The following is a 26529-nucleotide window of genomic DNA, read 5'->3' as shown; positions in this document are numbered from 1 at the left end:
TAAATTAAGGCTATGGGAAGTTAAAAAGTATGCTAAAGATGGTTAAGAGACATACTGAAAGTCAAACAGTCAACAGAGAAGTACATGAAACCAAGTTCTCAAAAGTTTGTTTTGTTCTGCCAGTACCTGAGACCACTCTCAGATATATAGGTCCCCAGCTCTGAAACACTTTGTCAATATTAATATAGAACAACATTATCTTTGTAACACATTTGCACTCCGATTCCTTTGTGAACAGAGTTAATGTGTCCTCTGACCCACAGTGATTTTAGGGTTGCCACTTGAGCTGAACAGGGCCTTCCCTCCCATCTTCCAATGCAGAAACTCTGGTTGGGCATCCAGAGTAACTCAGCAACATAACTGCCATCACAAACATGTGCAGAAAGAGTTCTGACCTGTTGTGTTGGAAGCCAGAGAATGGAATAGTTTTGTAGCTCTCCTTTGTGGCTTATTCCTTACTCAACAGCCATTCTGCTTTTGACCTGAAAAACTGGGCCAGGGAGATTCTGTACCATCAGGCATATTTCTTATTGGGCTGTGTAAGTCTAGCATATGGCTAATTACAATTTACACCTCCTTAAGTGCTCTAACAATCCACTAAAGACTGTTTTGTCTCTTTGGTTTACTGTTTGTAGCACTTTTTGCAGGCAAAGCAGTAAACAATTCCTTTGGAGGTACTTTTTAATTTCAAATGATGATGGAAGATGATGGTCTTCTGTCTGGGTTGTTAATGATATATTCTCAGCCTGATCTGTTAAATGATTGTGTTCCTAATGATATGTCATTTGCTTTCTACAGTGTCCTGGTGACCAGTTTTCTATTTCTTCATCTTCCATGGTGGAGACATGCCCATTGAGGATAAAATAAAGAACTAAGGTAGGTGAAGGAAAAATAAAGAAGATGAGATTTTAGGAACAAAATATCTATGGCATAAAATGCACTAATAGAAGTAATAACTAATAAAGATATTTGAAGTGAGTTGTTTCATTTTTGTATTCTTATTTTTGTCGCTGACCTTTTTAGCTGTGTGTTTGAGAGACAAAATTGTGCTCTGTTGCAAGAAGATGGGTGTCTCTTAAAATAACATAGAATGGAAAAATATTGCCTCAAAGTTAACGTAGTTTTTAATTTGTTAGATATTAAAATGCAAGCTGATAACTAGACATCACTTAAACAGAGAGGTTTTCTATTTAATGAAGTGGTTTGCATGGGGAATAGACATTCTGACAGAGATGGTCTACTGATGTTGGATGTAGAAGGCAGGATGAATTTAGTCCCATGGCTCTCTACTGGCACTGCCAACAGGTGACCAGCTGGCACCAAATATGAGCATGACAGCTTGGTGCGCTCAACTGAGACACACGTTTCTATTTTCCTTCATCCAGGGAGTAGCTAAAAACATGATCTCTAATTCCCTTACTGGCATGGAACAGGGAAGAAATAAATGAATTTCCAGTTAATGATTCTAAGTAAAAATGTGTCCAATAATTTATAATTTTAAAGTTTAAGCTTAGTAGTGTTTACAAAGTGATCCATGGACTTAAGTAATGTGAGCCTCATGAGTTCTCTACCATATGAACATATTTAGAAAAGCTGATAATATGAGAGATTTCAAATTTGCAAATTCATCTTTGAGATCAATGTTAATGGGATGAATATCTTTAGGTAAAACTTATACCTCCTTGATGGGGATACACAGCAAGGAGAGAAGACTCAGCCCTTCTCCTTTAATCTTAAATTGTTTGATTTGACTTAAGCCCAACTTATCTGTGACAAAGATTTTCACAAATATTTCATATGAGTTCTTGAACTTTAATGTTTTCCTTTTCATTAACATTTCTCCTTTAATTTTAAGGATACCTTAAAAGGTGCCCTTAAAGCTCCCAAGGAAGGGTTTAAAAGAGGAAAAAAAGAGTTATGAGAACCTGCTTCAGTGAGACTCAGGATTATTACACCTCAGGGTCAGATGCGCCAATCAGACAGATGGACCTGAAACACCAAGGTGTATCCTTTGAGCCCTAGCCAGCTGCTCTGTGGGAGACCAGGAAGTCTCAAACTTCCTACAAACAATGGCTGTTTAGGGCAGAGGGGTATCTAGAGTTCTATCACAATCATACCCACCTCCCTACTTCTCTGGCACCTTTCAAGAGAATATATATTCTTTCTTTAGGAATATGTATGATATGTTCCCCAAGAAAATTTTAAAATACATGCATACAGAGAACCAAAAGTACAAAGTTACATGAAACAAAATACTTTACAGATAAGAAGCTATGGGGCTGGTTATTGCATTGGTTGGAGGGGAGTCTTATGAAAAAAGAACTTTGATATGATTGCTTGTAGTATTTTTTAAATATCTTCCGCTGCTCATTATATTCATTTTCCTTTAAATACATGAACATATTTACAATAACTAACTTTAAGTCCTTGTCCCCTAATCTGCTGTTCTATCATCTCTTCATTTCTGGGTTTGTTTCTATTGACTCATTTTTCTCCTGGTTATAGGTCTCAATTTCCTACTTCTTCTCATATATAGTAATTTTTTATTGGATACTATAAGTTTCTTACAAGATACTGAAAATTTTCTATTGAGCATTGGAATTTGTTTTCTTAAGGGGTGGTAGACTTTGTTCTAGCAGGCAGCTAATTTACTTGTGCATTAGCTTGAGTCTTTTGAAACTTGTTCTTAAGCTTTGTTGGAGTGAATTTAGAGTAACCTTTACTACAGGGCCAGTTTACTTCTCCTAGAAAGGCTTGATTTCTGAAGTTTCTGTGAATGCCCCACATGCTCAAAGTAGACTCTTTAACCTGGCTTTTGCCTCTTTCATACCTTGGAACTGCTTTTTTTGAGATAACCAATAACTTCTAAATCCAAAGGATACTTTTCAGTTTTCATCTTACTTGACCTCTTGGCGGTGGCATTTAACATTGTTAACCACTCCTATGCTCTGGAAGCACTCGCTTCTGTAGCTTTTGTTTCATGACATTCTCCTTGTTTTCCTCTTACCTCCATGATTATTTTGCAGGTTTTCCATCTCCTAGCCAATCCTTAAACATTACTCAGCTATTTCCTCAATCCCTTTTCTCATTTTGTTCTATATTCCCTTTCTCCAGGGAATCCCACGATGTCTGTCCCATGGCTTCCATTACCCCCTATTTTACACTGAAAAAAAAAAAAAAAAACAAACAACCCTGTGTATTCTCAATCCCAGACCTCTCATCTAAGCTTCAGATCCCTGCCTTCAATCCCAACTGCTTCCTCAGTCTCTCTTTTTGGATATCTCACACATACTATGTTCAAAAGTGACCTCATGATTCCAGCCCATGCACTACATCTGCTCCTCTTCCAAGGTTCCTGTCTCATTAAAAGGCATCATCCTGTTCCCCATAAAAAAAAAAGGTGGGGTGGGGGGGGACTCATTCCTGAAACTTCATCTCTGATATATATGAATCATCAAAGATAATCATTTTTCCTTCTAAATATCTCTTGAATCTGTTCCCGAGATCCAGTAAGAAACTATTGGTCCTGCACACCAGCTGGGTTCTAGAGAAGAAGAGGTATACTTGGCATGTTGATGTAGCAGGGCTGAGACAGCCTCAGATGTTATCCACAGCCAGATTGTTTTAGAAGAAGTAGGACATTTTCTAAGCAGTTAGAGAATAGTTTAGACATGGTGTAGGGATCAGTGGGCCTGAGAAAGTATCAAGATGGGACAAAAAGGGTACAGCAGAAGTCTGGGTAAGCCATAGGCTCCATGGGACCAAGGGTGTGTCAGTGGATTCCAGAGTAGATGCATGAGCAAGGAGACCAGAGTATCCACCCCCACCCACCTTGTACAAGAACCAAACAGACCTCCCTCTTCAAATTAAGCTGTAATACTGAGGAAGGAATGGAGAGACCTCAAATTGACTAAAATCAAATGTTCAGCTTCCAGAAGAATGGGGGCTTGAAGTTGAAATTAGCTTCACTTATATAAAAAATAAAATACTGCTTCTTGAAAAGGAATAAAAATCACACCCAATATATGAACAATACCAAATACCATTGTTAAAGACTTTATATTTAACCTGAATTGTGAATAAGCATAGATGCAAAGATCAAGTAGGTTCTGCAATTAGTAATCTCCACTGCCATCATTCTCTTCTAAGCCACCATCATCTCCTGCCTAGATGCCAGTAATCATCTCCTGAATGTTCTCTCGAGTTCACTCTTCTTTACCTCCAGTCCCCTTCTCCACACCAACATGTAATGATTTTTTTTTTTTTTTTTTTTTTTTTTTGAGATGGAGACTCACTCTGTCGCCCAGTCTGGAGTGCAGTGGCATGGTCTCGGCTCACTGCAACCTCCACATCCCAGGTTCAAGCAATTCTCCTGTTTCAGCCTCCCAAGTAGCTGGGACTACAGGCACATGCCACCACACCTGGCTAATTTTTTGTATTTTTAGTGGAGATGGAGTTTCACCGTGTTAGCCAGGATGGTCTCGATCTCCTGACCGCATGATCCGCCCGCCTCGGCCTCCCAAAGTGCTGGGATTACAGGCATGAGCCACCGCGCCCGGCCTATGATTTTTTTTTTTAACGCGAACTTGATCCTATCACTCCTTTGCTTATAACCTGTTAACACTTTCTCTGTTCCTAGAGTCCAAATGCATTTACCAGCACCTCCAAAACCCTGCACTCCACTGCAGTTACCTCTCTGATTCCCTTTCCTCCATTCTCTCCTTCACTCTCCCCACTCCAGGGGTAGTGCACTGGACTTCTTGAAGCTTCTCTGGTATGCTGAACCTATAGGACCCTTTCTTCCTGGAATACCCCTCTTCCCTCTCCCTCTATACCCACACCAACCTGTTAATCAACCTGGCATCATTTGCTTCCCTGCTTAAGTGCTACTTCTGGCTTGAAGCCTTCTTCCTTTGCTCAGGTCAGGCCAGAACCTGTGACACACTCTCATTGGCTCCCTGTCATTTTACCTCATAGCACTTTACCATACCTGGGCTCCATGAGAGGAGAGATGGGGCGTGCCAATCCTCAACACCCAGAACACATACAGCACCCCAAACAGGGTTGTCTGGCACAAATTGGGCATGCAATAAATGTTGAATGAATAAAAGGAGTCCAGAAAACTAATTCTCACCAAAATGTTAAATGATAGTGGTTTAAAGTACTTCTTAGAGGGTAGAGGATATCCAGATAAACTTTGCAAACTTTAAGGAGTGCATCTCTACTGGCAAAGATTCAATTATTAGCATATTTCTTGCTAGAGGCTTCCTAGTTACTGACATTTCAGTCTGTTCACTAGGAAGGAAGGGAACAGAGATGTACCTTAAATCCCTATGTCATCTGTCCCCTGCCTGCCTCTCTCACTTCATCTTGTCCCACTGCTCTTCCCCTCTCCTGTGCTCTGCCCAGATGGGATTTGTTTCAGTTCCTTGACTGGTAAGTTCTTTCCCTACCGGTCCCTCTGTGTGGGATGCTCTCTCCACCCCCATCTTGCTCTTTACAAGGTGAGCATCTTTACAACACAAATGCCACCGCCCAAGAGAGGCCAGCTCTGTTGTTCCCTGTTGTTGCACTCTCTTTGTGCCTGTCAGAGCATTTAACCACAGTTGGTAATTTCATGAATTTATTTGTAAATAAAGGCAGGGACAACATCTACTTTGTTCACTGTTGTTTGCCCAGAATCTAGCACAGGGCCTAGGACATAGTTGGTAAATACTAACTATATATTGAATAAATGAATATTTACAATAAAGCAGAGCTGATAAATTTATTGACTGTCACACCATACGTATCTTGAAGGGAAACTGGAATGTTTTTGTTAACATTATGGAGGTTTGGCAAGCCAGACATAAAAGTAAATCTAAAGTTGCATCTGAAAGGTTACTTAGCTGAAGGTGGAGGGTGTTGGGAAAGGGAAGGAAAGAGGAAAGAAAGGAATGGGAAGTTTAGAGAATGGGATAAAAGATAAGGAAAAGTAAGGGAGCAAATACAGATTCGAACATTTACTCTGATGTGTTCTCCCAAGAACTTTGTCTTAGAGATTTCTTTCTTCTATGCTTTAAGCCTATATGAATTAATGTGAAGGAAAAAAATATTCAGCCTATAGATTAATTTTGCCAAGTAAGTCACTGGGGTCCTGTATTCATTTCCTATTGCTGCTATATGTAACAAGTCACCACAAATGTTGTGGCTAAAAACAATGGAAATTTACTCTTCCTACAGTTCTAGAAGTCAGAAGTTCAAAATTAGTCTTACAGGGCAAAAATCAAGGGGTCTGCAGGGCTGGTTCCTCCTGGAAGCTCCAGGGGAGAATTCTTCCCGGCCTCTTCCAGCTTCTGGGGCTGCCAGCATTTCTTGGCTTATGTTACTTCACTCCACTCGCTGCTTCTGCAGTCCCATTACCTTCTCTGTGTGTGCCTTCTCCACTTGTGTGGTCAAATCTCTTTCTGCTTCCTTTGATTACACAGTTACATTTAGGGCCCACCTGGATAAGCCATGCTCATCTCCTTCTATCAGGATCCTTAATTTAACACATCTGCAAGGCCCCTTTTGTGGCTGTGTACTCATAGGTTCCAGGGATTAGGATATGTATAGCTTCAAGGCCCATTACTGAGCCTACTGCAGGTCTATTTCAAATGTGAATTTCTATCTCACTGCCTCCTCAAACCAACATGTGCTTTGTTTGTTTGGGGTATTGGCTTTGTTTGTTTGTTTGTTTTTTAGAATTCTAACAACTTCTTTATTTTTTTTTCCTTCAGAGCTCTAGCAATTTTCCATGCTAATCAAACTTCAACTCTAGGTTTAATGCCTCATATTTCTCCTAGACCCAAAACTTGGTTTTTAGAAGGGAGAGAAAGTATACTGTAAGCCAACAAAACAACTTCAACTTTGTTTCCTCTCAGGCACCTGTAAAGAACTACCTGAGACTGGGTAATTTATAAAGAAAACAGGTTTAATTGACTCACAGTTCTGCAGGCTTAACAGGAAATATAACTAGGAGGCCTCAGGAAACGAACAATTGTGGTGGAAGGCAGAGGGGAATGAGGCACATTTTCCCATGGTGGAGCAGGAGAGAGAGAAAGAGCAAATGGGGAGGGGCCACACACTTTTAAATGCCACCAGATCTCATGAGAATTCTATCCTGAGACAGCACTAGGGGTATGGTACTGAACTGTTAAAAACCACCCCCATGATCCAGTCACCTCCCACTAGGCCCCACCTTCAACATGTAGAGATCACAATTCAACATGAGATTTGAGCGGGGACACAGAACAAACCGTATCAGCATCTCTTTCAAAAGGGGGCTCCAGTGAAACTAAAAGTAAATAAGTCTTTACCTGATTAAAGATCTGTTTTAGAGATGTCAGAACATAAAACTTCCAGAGATTTCTATTTGGCAAAGTTCTGAGCAACACCCTTTAATTTGTTTGGGGTCTTATCAGATCTAGTCCTATTTATCTGGAGGCAGTAGAAATTCACTGCAGGGACTGTTGTGTTTTTCTGCTTCCACTCCACAGAACTGGAACTTGAAAATCAATTTGAATGGTGTTTGTTCATTAAGCTGTTATTTAATAACCCTGAAAGCCAGCCAAGGTACATAACCCCAGGTAAAAGTCAAGTTACACTTAAGGAAAGAACTGTAATGACCACTCCCTGAAGATACATAAGCGTCTGGCCTTCATTGAAAGCCTGAGTGCAGAGTCTGGAGCTGCTCTTTGAAGAAGACCTTAGTCTGTGGCCATGCAGGTAGGAAGCTATTTCTGTAATGAGTCCTGGCCTTCTCAGCTCAGTTGTTATGGACATGTATTAGTTACTCTCAGACCAGTGCTGTCCAATAAAAATACAATGTGAACATTATATTTAAGCATGTAATTGAAATTTTTTCTAGTAAAAGCAAAAAAGCAAGTGAAATTAATTTTAGTAATATGGCTTATTTAATTCAATATGTTCAAAATACTGTCATTTCAACATGAATCAATAAAATGAATAACTATTGAGGCTGGGTGCAGTGGCTCACGCCTATAATGCTAGCACTTTGAGGCTGAGGTGGGTGGATCACCTGAGGTCAGGAGTTTGAGACCAGCCTGGCCAGCATGGTGAAACCCCATATCTACTAAAAATACAAAAAATTAGCCGGGCGTGGTGGCAGGTGCCTGTAATCCCAGCTATTCAAGAGCTGAGGCAGGAGAATCACTTGAACCCAGGAGGCGGAGGTTGCAGAGCGCCGAGTTGGTGTCCTTGCACTTGAGCCTGGGCAACAAGAGCAAGACTCCGTCTCAAAAAACAAACAAAAAAGAATAATTATTGAGAGAGTTTATATTATTTTATTTTTTCATATTAAGTCATAATTCTGGTGTGTATTTTATACTTCTAGTACCTCTCGATTTGGACCAGCCATCTTTCATGTGTGCAGTAGCCCCAAGTGGATAGTGGCTACCATATCAGACAGTACAGTTATAGCCTTTATGGTTGATTAATAAAACTAGATTTGGTCATTAGTTATTCTTCTGCCATCATAAACTCTTTTACTCCTTTATGTACTTTCTGGTTTTGTTGTATTTTTTGCTTATTAGGTTTCTTTTTAGCTGTTTTTATTTTCCTCATTGGGAAACAGGAAGTTGAAACAGGAAGTTCCACCCCTTAAGAGAAGAGAACACCCCTTTCTGTTAAGGGGTGGAAGTTGGAGGGTAATCCATGTACTAAAAATGAGATAAAATGATTTTTATTCCCCTAGTTAGCTTCACAGATGCCCTCTGAGCCCTTCAAAAAGATATCCTCCAAGTTCCAGAATGTGGCCTTGGCCTGAAAAACAGCACATGGGAACAGGTGATGAAACTATACTTCAACTGCTCTAGCAAAACCCAAATGCCTCCCAAGATAGGAACAACACCTGTCAACATGAGATCGGGAGAGCTCAATCTCTGTATGAAGAAATAGTCTTGAACTGGGATGGGATTCTGGAAATCTGGCTTTACTAGCTAGTTGGGAGACCTTGGGTAATTTATTTATTTAAATTATTTGAACCTCAGAGCACTCTTTACTAAAATGATGAAGTTAAAATAGATCAGTAGTTTTCTAACATTAAGCTGTGAACTCATTTTTCAAACAAAACTACAGAGAATCCCAATACTTCGAATAGATCCAAGTAGAGCGGCTCTGATACCAGTAATGACAGGAAGTTATATAGGTTGGACCAGCGATCTACTGCCTCTGTCTTCCTTTTGCATCTGAGGCACAGTTTGAAAATGTGGATAGATGCTCTCCACTGTAGCTTTCAGCATTAAGCATTCTTATTCTCTGCCATTCTCCATTGGGCTGTATCAGCCAATACTCCCGATTAGCTCAAGTTGTAGACTAAGAACAAAGTAGATAGGAGATCATTTCCCCAGGTGACTTGCATAGGTTCTAAGCACATTTTCTTTGGAGTCCCACTACCCTACCCCACAGCATATTAAATACATTATTTTCTTTTGTTGTTTTAGAGACTTTTTTTTTTAGGTCTCAAGTATTTGTATAAGTCCTTAAAAAACCCATGGGCTAATGTGCAAAATCCTCAGTTTCCTTTCTGTCACTTTTTTTTGAGACAGGGTCTCACTCTATCACCCAGAATACAGTGCAGTGGCTCCATCATGGCTCATTGCAGCCTCGACTCCTGGGCTCAAGCAATCCTCCTGCCTCATCCTCCCTAGAAGCTGGAACTACCAGCACTTGCCACCATCTCCAGCTAATTTTTAAATTTTTTGTAGAGACGAGGTATCCCTATGTTGCCCAGACTGGTCTCCAACTCCTGGCTTAAGCGATCCTCCTGCCTCAGCCTCCCAAGGTGCTGGGATTACAGGTATGAGCCACTGTTCTCAGCTACTTTTTGCAACTCTTCTTTAAGTAATTCCTATCTTACAGCTAGAATATAAAGATAACTAACCTACGATATCAAAACCATGAGTGAATGAGCAAAGGGATATATGTGTTGTATAAAAATTGCAGTGGAACCAAAGCTTAGTAAACACAAAAATATCTGATCTGAACCTGGATGTTTTAGGATATGTGGCTGTTGACATAATAAATAATATACGACTTTGATACTACTAAGAAAAAATATGTCTAATTGTAGGACAAATAACAATCATTAGAAGATAAACTTTTCTTGTTTTTTTTTTCCCTAATCTGCTGCCTGATAATATTATTATAAATTTAGGCAATATTTCACTTTCTAGCACTAACAGAGAATGAAGTATTCTACTTGAACAAAAACCCAAATAATCCTTTTCCTAAAACCATGTAGATTCTCCATTTAATTAAGCCTTGTGGTAATTTCCTGAGGTTTTCACTGAAGACTGTTTTCTTCAAAGCATTCCTTACCCGAAGATTACAGGTGAGACATGGGAGGCAAATTTTCCTATATCTGATGAGGTGGTAAACTTTGTTTCTTCCCCTCAATCTCAGCCCCGGAGATGCCAAAAAGGGAAAGAGAGTGATGAATTGCCCAAACTATCAAACCAAACAGGCAACAACAACAAAAATCAAGACAGAAAAAAACAAACATAAGCAAAGGTCTTAAGGATTTGGGAAAATAACCAGAAGAATGAAAATAGAGTGTGTAACTTTTTTGTTTGTTTGTTTTGAGATGGAGCCTCATTCTTGTTGCCCAGGCTGGATTGCAACAACGCAATCTCAGCTCACTACAACCTCTGCCTCCCAGGTTCAAGCGACTCTCCTGCCTCAGCCTCCTGAGTAGCTGGGATTACAGACGTGTGCCACCACGCCGGGCTAATTTTTTGTATTTTTAGTAGAGACGGGTTTTCACCATGTTGGCCAGGCTGGTCTTGAACTCCTGACCTCAGGTGATCCACCCACCTCAGCCTCCCACAGTGCTGGGATTACAGGTGTGAGCCCCTATGTCAGGCCAATTTTTGACTCTTAATTATGGTTTCCATCTCTCTGCTGAAATCGCTCAATGCCTCTTGCTCTCCTTCCAAGCAGATCTTTTAGCATGCTACTCATAGTTATTTAAAGTTCCTGCCTGATAGTTTAAACGGCTGAGTCATATCTGAATCAGATCTTTGATTGTTTTATGTCTTCCCCTTGATTTTTCTGTCTTATGATTTTTGAAAGAATGCTAGATGTTGTATGTAGAAGAGCAGTGGAGACTGAGATAAATAACATTTATGTCCAAAAATAGGTATGCTTCTTTTTATCATTAAGGACAGTTAAGTCAATCTGATCAGGTGTTTAGCTGAGTTTGGTACCTTCAGTGCACCACGGGATTTCTGTTCAATAAAGAAAATCTGAACATTGGTAATAAAAAGTGATAAAGTGGGCTGGACATGGTGGCTCATGCCTGTACCCAGTGCTTTGGGAGGCCAAGGTGGGAGGATTGCTTGAGGCCAGGAGTTTGAGACGAGCCTGGGCAATATGGCAAGACTCTATCTCTACCAAAAAACAAAACAAAACAGAAAGGCTCTTGTGGCATCTCCAAAGTCACAAACAGAAAATAAATTAATTAAAATAAAATTAAAAGGTGGTAAATTGGGAGAAGATACTCCCAATATCCCAATATCTAACACTAGCAAGTGCTACATATCTAAGATATATACAAAACAACTTTAAATCAACAAAACGAAGTCAGGAAATTCCATAGAAAAATAACATATAGGCAATAAAATAGACATATTGGCAATTCCTAGATGAGGATATTGGAATAACTAATGATATGAAGACATACTCAATCTTTCAATAGACTTGAGAATAAGATACCACTTTTCACAAATCAGATTTGCAATTTTTTTTTTTTTTTTTTTTGAGATAGAGTCTTGCTCTGTCACCCAGGCTGGAGTACGGTGGTGCAATCTTGGCTCCCTGCAATCTCCACCTCCCGGGCTCAAGCGATTCTTGTGCCTCAGCCTTCTACACCACCACGCCCAGCTAATTTTTGTATTTTTAGTAGAGATGGTGTTTCTCCATGTTGGTGAGGCTGGTCTCAAACTCCTGAAATCAAATCTTCCTCAGCCTTCCAAAGTGCTAGGATTATAGGCATGAGCTACCATGCCCAGCCTAGATTGGCAAAAATTTTATGTCTGATAACACTGAGTGTTGTTAAACATTTGGGGAAACAAGAGCTGCTAGCACACATGTAAATTTGTGAGCAGATAGCCAGCCTATGGTGAGTAAGTAACCCGTTCCTGGGCATAAGCCTTGGGTAAACTCTTGCACAGGACTGAAAGAAACATTGCCCAGCAAATATTAAGCACTGAATGAAATGCTTTTTTTTTTGTTGAGACAGAGTCTCACTCTGTTGCTCAGGCTGGAGTGCAATGGCGCCATCTCAGCTCACTGCAACCTCTGCCTCCCAGGTTCAAGCAATTCTTCTGCCTCAGCCTCCCAAGTAGCTGGGATTACAGGCACCCACCACCATACCCAGCTAATTTTTGTCTTTTTAGTAGAGGCAGGGTTTCACCATGTTGGCCAGGCTAGTCTCAAACTCCTGACCTCAAGTAATCCACCCTCCTCAGCCTCCCAAAGTGCTGGGATTACAGGTGTGAGCTACTGTGCCCAGCCTGTATAAAATGCATATTAAACAAATGCATGAAAATATTAATCACAGCATTGTTTGTAGTGAGTGGACTTGAGGCAACCCAATCGTCTATTACTAGAAGCACAAGAAGATAAAACAGATGTGAGGAATGTATTTGACAATAGCTAACATTGGTGGAAATACTGCAGTTTGCCAGGCAGTCTTCTAAGTGCCTCACGTGTATTAACACAATTATGCTCACACCAATGCTATAAGGTGTTTCTTTTAGACAGAAGAGATTAAGTTAGATTAAGCTGGGGGTCATGCAAACAGTAAGAGTCAGAGTTGAGTTTGAACCCAGGCACTTGGCTTCCACAGGCAAGCTCTGAATCCTCCATGCTGAATGGCTGCCTACCTTCTGTACTGCATGTCCCTGCAAGAAGGTGGTCTGATCTGTTCAGGAGTTGAGCTGAGTTTAGTACCTTCAGTGCACCACAGTGCATCTGTTCAACAAATAAAATCTAAACATTATTAATAAAAATGTTTCTACCTAGCCCTTTCTATTACTTACCTTCTTTTCCTCTTCAAAGGGAAACAGTTTCAATTTTTCCTCCAGTAGCTAGAAGCACACCTGAACTAGGTTCCAAATGTTTCTTCCTCTGTATAGTCAGTATAAGGTTATCCTTCCAGGCCCTTCAAATCTCTGAAGATCTTGTAAGAAGCTGGGACCTCAAGCAGCCTCTCTTTCTCTCCTAGTCTTCCTGAAGTTCATTTCCAAATAACCTGAGATAATCTGGTGCTTTCCTCCTCCAAGTCCCTTTCTCCTGGGGTGCAGGCACATTCCACCCTACCAGGATCTTTCAGACTTGAGTCTGAATGATCTCTTGGTGCCCAACAGGCTTGGGATCATGTGAATGCCAATCATTGCACTGGGCTGTGATGTAGTAATCCTTCAGAGGAGAGCATGGTCTACACTAAAAGACCCCAAACTATTAAACTTTGGATTTGTTTTTTTTTTTTGAGATGGAGTTTCGCTCTTGTTGCCCAGGCTGGAGTGCAATGGCATGATCTCGGCTCACCGCAACCTCCACCTCCCAGGTTCAAGCAATTCTCCTGCCTCAGCCTCCCGAGTAGCTGGGATTACAGGCATGCACCACCACGCCTGGCTAATTTTGTATTTTTAATAGAGACAGGGTTTCTCCATGTTGAGGCTGGTCTCGAACTACTGACCTCAGGTGATCTGCCTGCCTCAGCCTCCCAAAGTGCTGGGATTACAGGCATGAGCCACTGTGCCCAGCCTGTTTTGTCTTATTTTTACAAAATGTTCTACCTTTTCTTTCTTTACGTAATTATTGTCTCTTTTAGTCCTGTCCCCTTTATCACTTGCTAGTCAGTGTGTTTTTCCTTGCAGTGTTCTTGAACTGCCCATCATCTCAGCCAGTTGTGGGAAACCAGATGACCCAGCTTGGTAGAAGAAGTGTGCCTTAAGAGGTTGTTGGGTCCTCAGCCAAACTCTGAAGGACTCTGTGTATGAGCTTGCTGGAAACTGTTTTCAAATGTAAATTCTAACACTTGTTGAGTCATTAAGTGCATAGCGTGTAGCCTCCACTGTGCCACATTATCTTACTTCATCCTCAGGACCTCCTTGGGAGACAGGTACAAGTGTCCCCATTTTGCAGATACTGAAGCTGGCGGGGCGGGGTAAGGGCCTTGCCAGAAGTAAAATAGTTAAAAGGCTGCAGAGCTGGAATTCAGCCCAGGTCTTTTGGCACAACTACCTCAAACTCTTTCATTCTTTTTTAATTTTTGCTGATTTCCATGCCCAAAATTGGCAGTAAATTAAACTATATTTAAACAGTACATTTCTGTTTTTAATGTTTCTTTTTTCCAAAAGCACATTACCTATTATTTGAAATACCCTCTTACTTTAGAATATTCAGTGGCATAGTAGAGATTAATTATGAAATGGAAATTTCCTGCAAAGAAAACAAATCACTATAGCAAGAAGCACAGTTCATTTCTTTTCAAAGAAAGCTCTATTTCCACCAGCCTGTCTTTCTTTTGTGGAGGAGTCTCCTTTCCTTGGAGCAAGTTCGTTGATTTAGCAAGCACTTATTATGGTGCACTATGTGCTAGACATTATCCTGGACCCCTACAAATAGTACCTTTTAGTCCTACAGGTAGAAAGTAATAATATCATCTGCGTTTTTACAGATGAGGAAACTGAAGCTCAGAGAGATCAATCTATTTGTAAGTGGCACAGGCAAGGTTTGAACACTAGAGGTTTGTCTCTAGAGCCCAGAGGCTTAAGCTTTGCACCACAGTTTCTTCATTGCTAACCTATATTCTGTGCAATGCTGAGCAAGGAAAAACAATAGCAAATAGGAGGAGATAAAAACAGAGGAGCCCAGGAGACCCTTCTCTGCAGGTTGGTGGAAGGAGCTTTGAAAGCCAAATGGCCTGAGATGAAACTATTCTCAGAGCCTCCATCAACTCTTCAGCTGCTATAGGGGATTATTATCATTGGGTCACAAAGGAAGAGAGGCCCTCCCTTTCTTTGCTTTGGTGTGAAGTAGATTCATGTGGATGAGGGGTGTTAGTCTTTTAGCTAACCTATAGCAAAAATGACTGCCCCCTCTGGCTTTTCCCACTCAAACCATCTGCCTGGCATTTTGGAGGTAAGATCCAGGTATGTGTTTAGAACACCTTAGACTTAAGTGGGGGAGGTTGTTGAATCAGGAAAAAAAAACACATTTTTTATAAGGAAGTACACTGATGTTTTCATTTCATAGTCATGAAAAAAAAGTCATAGAAAAGAATTTCATTTTGCTTCTGCTTTTGGATTTTATAGAATGAAAAATCCTCTCATTTCTGCCTTTATCCACAGAGGGGAGCAGAGGGGTTATAAAAGCCTAGGGTTTAGCACAAAATATCAAGTTCTACCCTTCAGTGTCTGATTTTTATGTTTGTGGATTATCCAGGCTTGCTTTCTATTTCACTTTTCTCTTGGTTCTAGCTATTGGATTAGTTAGGCCACAGGAGGAAGAATGGGGGAAAACTAAAAAGATGAAAGACAAATTAGTTCACAAGTTTCCTTTTTAAAGGTTGATGAGAAAGAGAGTTTCAAAAAGTATAGTGAGTTTAAGGAACAGGGATCCACGAAAGTTTCCTGGAAAATTCAGAAAATCCAGGAAGCCCCAGGCCCTTCTCTCCCTCCTCTTCCTGTTTTTCCTTCCTCTCTCAGAATATCACTATTTATCTCTGCTCATTTTTTGCACCCTCTTCTCTCCACCAAATGGCTTCCTCATCTTCTGTTTCAGAGAGCATAAACTTTACCTCCTCCTAACATTAGCTTTCATGTAACTTTTGAATCAATTTTACATCAAAACATGCTTTTACCTTCACCTCTGCTGCAAACACCCTCTCTTTCTCAGTTTCCCAATTCCTAACTTAGATAAGACCTATCTGAATGACCCATCTTTCTAAAACAGGCTGCATAAGCCACAGGCCAGTCTATAAATTGATGACCTTCAGGCAAGTAGTTCCTTGCTCATTAATTATGGAAATTACTATAAAACATGCCTGCTTCAGCTACAGGGACTGGATGGAGGTGTGAAGTTTCTCTTAGAGGAGTATATGGGTGATCCAGCATGATAAACAAGTCCAGTGCAAGGCAGGTCCAGCTTAGGTAACGCCAAGCCACACTTTAAAGGTAACCTCAGGGTTTGTGCCACTGACCTTACTGTACATTAAAAAGCTATCAATGTCTTTATGGTCCTTTGGCTAGACAAAATCCTGCGGATAGATTCCAAAATAGATGCCTTTGATATCAACTTCAACTTCAGTTGGCTGAGCAGTATTATGGAGACTTTGGAAGGGCACAATCTATTGCTTTAATTTCTGACAACATAAGTAAAAGAAAATAATGATCTAGTACACTGGAAATATCCCAGGCCTTTGCAGTTGGGTAGCACGGGGTCATTTGCTATTGTACCCTGTGTGACTGATCTACATACCGACTTCCTTATCTGTAAAACGTAGATAACACAATGAGAATTAAATCCATATTAAATTACTTTTTGTATACCTAGCTCATAGTAAGTCCTCAATAAATGGTATTTGTGAACAGCTATGCCTCTTTCCCAGAATATTTTTCAGGACTTGTGTGGCCTGAATTTCACTGACAGGAAGCCGTTAAAATAAACTAGAGACTTGGTAAAGCCTACATTCTAGTAAAGGTGTATTTGCCCTCTGGCAATATTTGAAACCCACTGAAAACACCAAAAAGAGGCAGAGTAAGGTGGTTCATGCCTGTAATCCCAGCATTTTGGGAGGCCAAAGTGGGAGGATCACTTGAGGCCAGGAGTTCAAGACCAACCTGGCCAACATAGCAAGACCCCCATCTATTAAACAAAATACATGAATAAATAATTTTAAAAAATTTTTAAAACACGAAAAAGAAAGAAAACTTCACTTTCAACAAATCAATTAAACAGCCATGTTATCAATCAGATTTCTTAGCTACAACATCAGAAATTGATTCTTGCTGATATAAACAGGGAAAAGAGAACCAAAGAGATATCAGGTAGCTCACTGACTCACTGGGAGGGCTTAGAGAATCAGGGTCAGAAAATGACTAGGAACAAATGGAGGCAAGGAAGTGAGAGCCACAACCATAATCACACCAATGGGACTACCTGGTGAGAAGACTGCTGCACAGCTGAGTCGTGGATATCCTGGCGGCACCACCACCAGCACTGGATGGTTGATGCTGCCACAGGGAACTGTTGGCCTGGAAACTGCAGGAGCCAGTCACAGAAATAGATTCCCCACTGTCCCTAGTCCTTTGCTTCACTCACACACTCACTCATTTCAGGTTCTGTTGCAGCCATCTCGGCACTGTTAGGGGTGGCACCACAAAGCAGCCAAGGGAGGAGGGTGCTGGGAAGAACCTGGTTCTTGGATGATTTTTTTTTTTTTTGAGATGGAGTCTCACTCTGTCACTGAGGCTGGAGTACAGTAGCGCGATCTCAGCTCACCACAACCTCCGCCTCCCGGGTTCAAGCGATTCTCCTGCCTCAGCCTCCCAAGTAGCTAAGACTACAGGTGCATGCCACCATGCCTGGCTAATTTTTGTATTCTTTAGTAGAGATGGGGTTTCACCATATTGGCCAGGCTTGTCTTGAACTCCTGACCTTGTGATCCACCTGCCTCGGCCTCCTAAAGTACTGGGACTACACGCATAAGCCACTGCACCCAGCCTGGATGATATCTTTGAGCCATGAATCCACCTGTGGACTGCCTTCCTCCAGACCTCTATGATTTAGGTTGGTATGATTGGGTTATTTTTAAATGTATTGCTGTCATTGTTACTCAAAGCCGGTTGCAACCTAACTGATATATTCCCTTGAAATAGTTGAGCTCAAGCAGCCTGATCTATTCCAGAGCTCCCCTTTTTCACCACTGTCATGAGAAGCCTAAAATAGGCCAATAATTCAGCTGCTAATTCAGTGGAGCCATTACCTTATTCCCCTTGATGATTCCTCCTTTGATTCTAAATCCTCTATATCAGTGGAGCCCTGAGTTATGGAGAACGTAAGCAAAATTTCCCACGTGGAAGTGGGCATAACTCCAGCTTCCATCCTCTTGATTCACATATGAGTATATTCTTGCTGTGGCAGAAATGGCACCAGAGATTGACCACTTGTTCAAAAAATAAACTTCACCCCCACACTGTAAACTCACCTGCCTTTCTTTCTAATAAGACACCATAATGGGGCCTTTGAAGGGCAGTTCCATTCCTCTGTTGTAGGCAGTGTGGTTATGGGTAGTAGCGGTTATGAGTAGCAGCAGTTACAAGCACAAGCTCTGGAGCTGGACTGTCTGGGTTCAAGTCTCAGACCCCACTTACTGAGTGACAAGAGTCAGTCTATTAACCATACTTGCTTTAGTGTCCTCTTCTTAGAAATTAATATAATTATGGTAATTATCTCAAAAGGCTGTTTTAAGGGTTAAATAAGTTGTCATATGGGAGGTTCTTAGAGGAGTGCCTAGCATGTAAATGTGAGTTGTCATTACTGTTCTGTAAGGCCAGTGGCTTCAAGTGAGGAGGAACAAGTCCTGTAAATTCCATTTATTGCCTTACTTCTTTCAGAGAGCAGTCAGTTCTTTGGTCAGAACCAGGCTGGTGGGACGCCTGTTGGTGTCCTCGGCATGCATTGCTTCTACAGATCATGAGGGCAGAACCATGAAGCATGGTGGGCAGGGACAGCAACTCTGAGCCCAGGGCATAGATTTGTTCCAGAGAGGATGGACTGCTGCCTTCCCACTTGCAGTAGGAGTCCAGTGTTACTGAGGACTAGCTGGGTGCCTAAGGAATATGGTTGCATATTCAAACACCAGGATTAGTTAACAATGAGAACAAGTTGGTCGCTCAGAAGTGGTGATAGCCAGTGACAATAGCACCTCTTTCCCAAGGACAGAAGCAAAATCCATGATGGTAAGCCTATGAATATACTTGCTGTATCACTGGGGCCCGTGATGGTTATTCATGAGCCTATTGAACAAGCCTTGGGAGAGAGAAACATTTACTCAGATGACTGAGTAAAGAAGATCTGTCCTCGCCAATATGAGTAGGCATCACCCAATTCACTGAGGGCCCAAATACCACAAAAAGGTGGAGGAAGGATTGATTCTCTCTCTTTCTAAACTGGTACATCTATCTTCTGCCCTTGGACATCTGCACTCTTGGTTCTTGGGCCTTCAGCCCTGGACTAAATTATACTACCAGCTTATAAATGGCAGATCAGGGGACTTCTTGGCCTCCATAATAGCATGAACCAGTTCCCATAATCTCTGTCTCTCCTCGTGTGTGTGTGTGTATTATATAATATATATATTATATATATATTTATATATATATATATATGTATGTATTTATCCTATACTAGGATATATAGAGATATACCTTGATATAGTTTGGGCATTTGTCCCCACTCAAATCTCATGTTGAACTGTGATTCCCCAGTGCTGGAGGTGGGGCCTGGTGGGAGGTGTTTGGGTCATCAGGGTGGATCCCTCGTAGTTTGGTGCTGCCTTCGAGATAGTGAGTTCTCACAAGACCTGGTCATTTAAAAATGTGTGGCACCTCCTCCCACCCTCTCACTTGCTCCTGCCTTTGCCATGTGGTGTGCCTGTTCCCCCTTCGCCTTCTTCCATGATTGAAAGCTCCCTGAGGCTTCACAAGAAGCTGAGCAGACATCAGCACCATGCTTCCTGTAAAGCCTGCAGAACTGTGACCCAATTAAACCTATTTTCTTTATAAATTACCCAGCCTTAGGTATTTTTTGTAGCAATGCAAGAACAGCCTAACCTATATCTCCTGCTGGTTCTATTTCTCTGGAAAACCTTGACTTACACACTTGTGTAGAGCAGGGGTTGACAAATATTTTCTGTAAAGGGCCAGACTGAAAATATTTTATGGGCCATACTCAACTTTAACATGGTAGTGTTAAGACATAAGATAAGCTATAGATAATAGGTAAACAAGTGAACATTTATACTCATTCATTTGGACACTGAAATTTGAATTTCATACAATTTTCACATCATAATATATGCTTCTTCTCAACCATTTAAAAATGTAAAAACTATTCTTAGCTTGTGGACCATACAGAAACATTCAGTGAGATAGATTTGACCTGTGGGCCAGAGTTTGCCAACTGCTGGTGTAAAAAATTATAATTTTATTCCTGAAAGGTTTTCTCATGCCCAAATGTTCCTCACTTGTTTCTGAGATTAACCTTCTGAGGCAGGTAGGGCAGAAATTATTAGCCCCATTATTAGCCCCATTTTGCAGAGAAGCAAAAAGTCTCAGTAAACTATAACAACACTCTAAAGATCATAGTTAATAAGAAATGGAGATGAGCTCTAACCATTGTCTCCAGGATTTTGGTACTCTTATACCATGCTTGCAGGGAGATACTCACCTTTATGACAAATTTCTAAAAAGCTATCAGCTCTTGACTATGTAAACCCAAGGAAAGAACTGCTCCCACACATAAAGCAAGAGCTCTCATAACTAGGGACTTAATTAGCACTCTGTCTATCCAATGCTTAGGGTTGATTTGTATTTACTATGAGAGAGATATCCAGCTCTGAAGTTGCCAGCAAGGCCCTGTCCCCAGATACAGTCCCCGAGGGCTTTGAATCTCCACTGAAAGCCCTAACGGCTCCCCCGTATTGCATCCAGCACACCCCAGGTCGTGGCCACTAGCCTCGATTAGTTTTCTATCATTATGTGTCCCAAGGGAGAAATAAAGAGAGAGACAAATGAAAGTGAACTATGAAGTATGGGTTTGTGCCTCGCCTATACTCAAGAGACCTAAATTCCTCCCTTGATATGCTGCTTACAGGTTGAATATTATAGCACCACATTAACTGAGGGGCCCTAGGTATGGTCGCATGATTTGAATACCAACTTCTTCTTGGATGTAGTCTTCTGAGTCATAGGAAATAGTACAATTTTCATTCAATTGGGAAGTTATTTTACATTCAAAAGTAACTTATTTTTAGAAATTAAAATGACTAATATTTGTATGTACATATATTTACAATGTATAATCTATGTACAGTTCTATAATTATATGTGTACCCAAGTAGCACAAACTTTAAAGATATATGAGGACTTAGGTATAGGTGTGATCTCAGCCTGTGTGGGCTGCCATAACAAAATACCACAGACTGAGTGGTTTAAACAACAGAAATTAATTTTTTTTTCTTTTGAGATGGAGTCTCACTCTTGTTGCCCAGGCTGGAGTGCAGTGGTGCAATCTCAGCTCACTGCAACCTCCACCTCCCAGGTTCAAGCAATTCTCCTGCATCAGCCCCCTGAGTAGCTGGGATTACAGGTGCCCACCACCATGGTGGGCTAATTTTTGTACTTTTAGTGGAGATGGGGTTTTGCCATGTTGGCCAGGCTGAGAAATTAATTTCTAACAGTTCTGGAGTCTGGGAAGTACAAGATCAAGGTGCTGGCCCATTCAGTTCCTGGCATGGGCATTCCATCTGACTTGCTGTGTCCTCACATGGCTCTTCCTCAATTTGTATGTGTAGAGTAAGAGACAGAACAAACACTCTTGTGTCTCTTCTAATAATGGCCCTATTCCATCGGAGCAGGGCCTCACCCTCATAACCTCATCTAATCCTACATACCTTCCACAGGCCCCATCTTCAAAGACCATCACACTGAGGGCTAGGGATTCAACATCTGAGTTTTGGGGTAACATAAACATTTAGTCTATAACAGGTACTATGTTCAATAATATTTACAAATATCAAACTTCCTCTTTTCTCAAACTTAGGGGAAAAATCCATCCATCCATTCATCAATTAGCTGGTTATTTTAATGATGTTTGAGCACCTACTGTGTGCTACACCTGTGACCTTTCAGAGATTAAAAACCTCAAGGCTCACAGAGTTCCTGAAACCCAGATTAAACATCCCCTTACCACTTTTCTTACTGGCTTTCATTATTACCCATTTTTTTTTTCATGCTTGGTTATTAAATAAATTTCCCAAGGTGTTTTAAATACTTTTTCCTTAGATCTCTACCTTTCCTTTTAATGTGGCTCAGAAAATGGAAAATGACAACTGCTACGGGCACTCCATGCCTCCCAGTGTGACTTCTCAGCATCTCTGCTTTTGCAATTAGTTTTCATCTCCTCAAAGGAGAGGGCCTCTCTGCCCACAGGTGCTGCATTTGGCTGTTAGGTGCTTAATAATTAATTGCTTAGATTTATAATTTTTTTCTTATTAAATCCAATAGGCATTCTAGCTCACTTATAAGATTGACTCAGATTTTAAAAGGGCTATACTTTTTTTTCCAAAAAAATCCATAAATTATAAACTAATGTCTATATAACATCGAAAGTTATGTTTAAAAGGGAAATATAAAGTGGTTTCCCATAATCACTGCCAGCCTAATAGAAATAGGATCAGAAATTCTGTGGCTTTGGCAGGAAAATAATAAAGGTTGTTATGTTATTCAGAAGTAGCTTAAAAATAAACAAATTAATTAAAAGGTTGTTACGGTCTTCACACACACACACAAAAAAAAAATGAGAAAAAGGGGAGTGTGTGTCCATACCAAAGCTTTTCTTTTTTTCTTTTTCTTTTTGAGACAGAGTTTCGCTCTGTCCCCCAGGCTGGAGTGCAGTGGCACGATCTTGGCTCACTACAACCTCCACTTCCTGGGCTTAAGTGATTCTCATACCTCAACCTTCAGAATAGCTGGGACTATAGGTGCACGCCACCACACCTGGTTTTATTTTTAGTAGAGAAGGGGTTTCACCATGTTGGCTGGGCTGGTCTCGAACTCCTGGCCTCAAGTGATTTGCCCACCTCAGCCTCCCAAAGTGCTGGGATTACAGGTGTGAGCCACCATAACCAGCTTCATACCATAGCTTTTCTTACCTACACATTCTTTCCCTCTATTTGTACTCGTTAGTCTCTGTGTGAGTGGTTCTCAGGAGTGGTGTGGTGGCACACTGATGGGCAGAATCAATTGTGGGGGAGTGCCATAAGTACTTTGTTACTTATACAGCTTTTAAATGTGCAAACAAATTACTTTGTCCATAAATTAAAGCAGAGTCAAGGTTTTTCCTTCAATATCATCACTATCAGGAGACAGGAGGCAATAAGGCATGGCAGGTGAAAACACTCTGATTTCATACTGCTGAGGTTCACAGTCCACCTCCGCTAGTGGAGCTGAATAACTTTGGTCAAGACACACTTAGGCCAGGCTCAGTGGCTCACGCCTGTAATCCCAGCACTTTGGGAGACTGAGGCGGGTGTATGGCTTCAGCCTGTTAGTTTGAGACCAGCCTGGGCAACATGGTGAAACCTTGCTTATACCAAATAATATACAAAAATTAGCTAGACATGATGGTGCACGCCTGTAGTCCTAGCTAGTTGGGAGGCTGAAGTGGGAGGATGCTTGAGCCTGGGAGGCAGAGGGCAGAGATTGCAGTGAGCCGGGACCATGCCACTGCACTCCAGCCTGGATAACAGGGTGAGACCCTGTCTCAAAAAAAAGACAAAAAAAAAAAAAAAGACACTTAAAATTAACAAGCTTCAATTTTTTTCATTTATAAAATGATGGTTATAATAGGGTTTAAGCTGTAAATTATGAGAATTCAGATATGAATAAGACAGCAGAGTACTTAAAGGCATATAATAAGCACTCAGCTAAGATAATACTATTTTCAATACTACTACTACTTATTATTATTATTAAGAAGTCATCTAATGTACTTGTTAAGAAACTTTCAGTTCAAATAAACCTAGTCAACATCTAACTCTGCCACTTGGTAATTCTGTGACCTTCGATAACTTGCTTAACTTCTTTCAGCCTTAGTCTCATCATATCAAAAAAGTGTATCGGGTGTTGTGGAAATCAAATTGGCAATAAATCATGCAAATAAGAAAATATAAGGGCTCAATAGATAATAATTGTGTAATAAAGGTTATCAATGATAATGATGACAGTGCTTGCTTAAGTGTTAAAGGGGGAGAGGAATTGTGAATTGTGTTTAGGAGTGTTGGATCCATATTCATTTGGTCAGGAAAATATATTATTATCGATAAAAGAGCTAAAACATGCTTTATGAGAGGGAGTGGTTATCCTAGCTTATTTGAGAACTAACAAGTACATAAAGACACAGGGTCAACTCTTTTTACACAATTTCAGACCACTAGCGAAGCCCAGAAACCAGTGATAAACTTTGACTGCATATGTATAGGCCAGCATTGGGAGGTAATTGCTTAGTGGTTTAAAGAACACACAGTTTTGAAGCAAGGAAGGAAGAAGTCTTAGAAATTACGTAAATCCAACTCCTTCACTTTATAAATGAGGACACTAAGGCCCTTAATGAAGAAACTGAGGCAGTAAAATGCTTTGCCCAAGGTTAGGATTAGGCACTTATTCTTAAAACATGATCATAGTCTTTGTTAAAAGGTGATTAAGAATAGGATGCATTTTGCATTTCTGAATCTATTTCCATGTTTGTATATTAGTGTGACTGGAAGTTTTTGTTTAAAGATTGTGTTTACATGCCAACTAAACATTAAGAGAGAGTCAGAATCTTTAAAAACATCTGGAGGTTTCATCTGTTATTTTGTATATAAAAATTATAAGAGAAGGAACATTAGTATTTACTAAGTAAGCACTTCCCAAGCATGAATCAAGTTTACATAAAGTGTCTCTAGTAAACTTCACAATAATCTTGGAAAGCAACCTATCCATCAGGGCTCAGTCCAGAAAGCAGAAACTACTCTCAACACCTTAAGGAGAAAGGGAATTTGATGCCTACAAAAGCTCTGAAAGGTCTAAATGAAGCATCTTTAGACAAGACCTCCAGGAATGGCTCCCAGTTCACTACCATAGAACTAGCCTGCCCAGGGACCAGGCGAGGTGGCTCACACCTGTAATCCCAGCACTTTGGGAGGCGGAGGCGGGCGGATCACCTGAGGTCGGGAGTTTGAGACCAGCCTGACCAACATGGCAAAACCCTGTCTCTACTAAAAATACAAAATTATCCAGGTGTGGTGTCGGGCACCTGTAATCCCAGCTACTTGGGAGGCTGAGGCAGAAGAATCGCTTGAACCCGGGAGGCAGAGGTTGTGGTGAGCCGAGATGGCGCCATTGCACTCCAGCCTGGGCAACAAGAGCAAAACTCCATCTCAAAAAAAACAGAATTAGCCTGCCCAGGGAACTTCTCTCTCTACTATAGGTGGAACACTAGGTGTCCAGAAGGTGCCATGCCTACTGCAGACTCGTAGATTCTGATGTCAAAGCCATGTAACTGGAACGTGACTCCACCACCAGCACCGTTGGCCCCAGAGTTGTGCTACAGCTGCTATATCCTTCCAGCAAAAGTTGATGCCCTTCAATGCCCTTCAAGCCACTTCATATTTTCCCAATTGATTCAGTTTCAAAGTCAGTTCTCATAGTACATATTTAATCGGTTGATCTAAGTCACATCAAGAGCTTTAGCTGCAAAGGAGTCTGATAAATACAGGTTTTAGCTTTTCAAGCCTCTGTATAACAGTATGTCATATTAGAAGGAAGTTGCAATAAATATCAAGTAGGTCTTATACCCATTTTTAGAATCATAAAGCCACTATTTTGACAGGTTAAATAACTTACCTAAGGTCACACAGCAGTTAATAAAAGGAGAGAGGTTCAAAATAAGACCTCCTGGCTCTAATGCTGTCTGTACCTATATCCTAAGCAGTTTGTTGTTATCTCTGGCATAACATTTATTTCATTAGGTTTGCTGTATATTCACTCATCTGCTTTGATTAAGACAAACTTGTCCAACCCTCAGCCTGTGAGCCACATGTGGCCTAGGATGGCTTTGAATGCAGCCCAACACAAATCAGTAAACTTTCTTCAAACATTGTGAGGTTTTTTTGCAATTTTTTTTTTTTTGAGATGGAGTCTCACTCTGTCACCAGGCTGGAGTGCAGTGGCGCAATCTTGGCTCACTGCAACCTCCACCTCCTGGGTTCAAGTGATTCTCCAGCCTCAGCCTCATGAGTAGCTAGGACTACAAGCGCGTGCCACCACGCCCAGCTAATTTTTGTATTTTTAGTAGAGGTGGATTTCCACCATGTTGGGCAGGATGGTCTCAATCTCTTGACCTCATGATCCTCCCACCTCCGTCTCCCAAAGAGCTGGGATTACAGACATGAGCCACAGTGCCCAGCCTTTTTTGTGATTTTTTTTAAAGCACATCAGCTATCATATTAGTGTTTTTTATGTGTGACCCAAGACCATTCTTCTAATGTGGCCAAGGGAAGCCAAACGATTGAACACCCCTGGATTAAGAAATCCCTTAAGGTAGAGACATTTGTGGTTCATTATTACACTCAGGGTCTCCCAAATACAGTATTCATGCCCATGTGTAATTTCTTCCCACATTTATTCTAGGCTTGGCTAAATGATTTGCTTTGGC

General features: G+C 40.9%; 1 long non-coding RNA gene across 1 annotated transcript in view, besides 1 other annotated feature; it reads left to right on the top strand.

The window, feature by feature from the left end:
• LOC101928977 (uncharacterized) overlaps positions 1–26529 on the top strand; it is a 54704-nt gene that overhangs the window by 16888 nt on the left and 11287 nt on the right. Inside the window, exon 2 of the long non-coding RNA NR_125970.1 lies at positions 799–876. This is a non-coding gene — a long non-coding RNA (uncharacterized LOC101928977). The remainder of the gene's footprint in view (positions 1–798; positions 877–26529) is intronic.
• Positions 18710–19211: an enhancer, noted in NCBI's record as "NANOG hESC enhancer chr1:116483799-116484300 (GRCh37/hg19 assembly coordinates)". NCBI's record gives its function as "activates a minimal SCP1, AML or CMV promoter by ChIP-STARR-seq in primed H9 embryonic stem cells {active_cell/tissue: H9 hESC(primed)}" and the evidence as "EXISTENCE:reporter gene assay evidence [ECO:0000049][PMID:30033119]".

The sequence above is a fragment of the Homo sapiens genome, chromosome 1 (genome assembly GCF_000001405.40).
Source record: "Homo sapiens chromosome 1, GRCh38.p14 Primary Assembly".
NCBI classification, from domain to species: domain Eukaryota; kingdom Metazoa; phylum Chordata; class Mammalia; order Primates; family Hominidae; genus Homo; species Homo sapiens.
The sequence above is the reverse complement of the archived record's forward strand: the minus strand, read 5'-3'. Positions and strand labels throughout refer to the sequence as shown.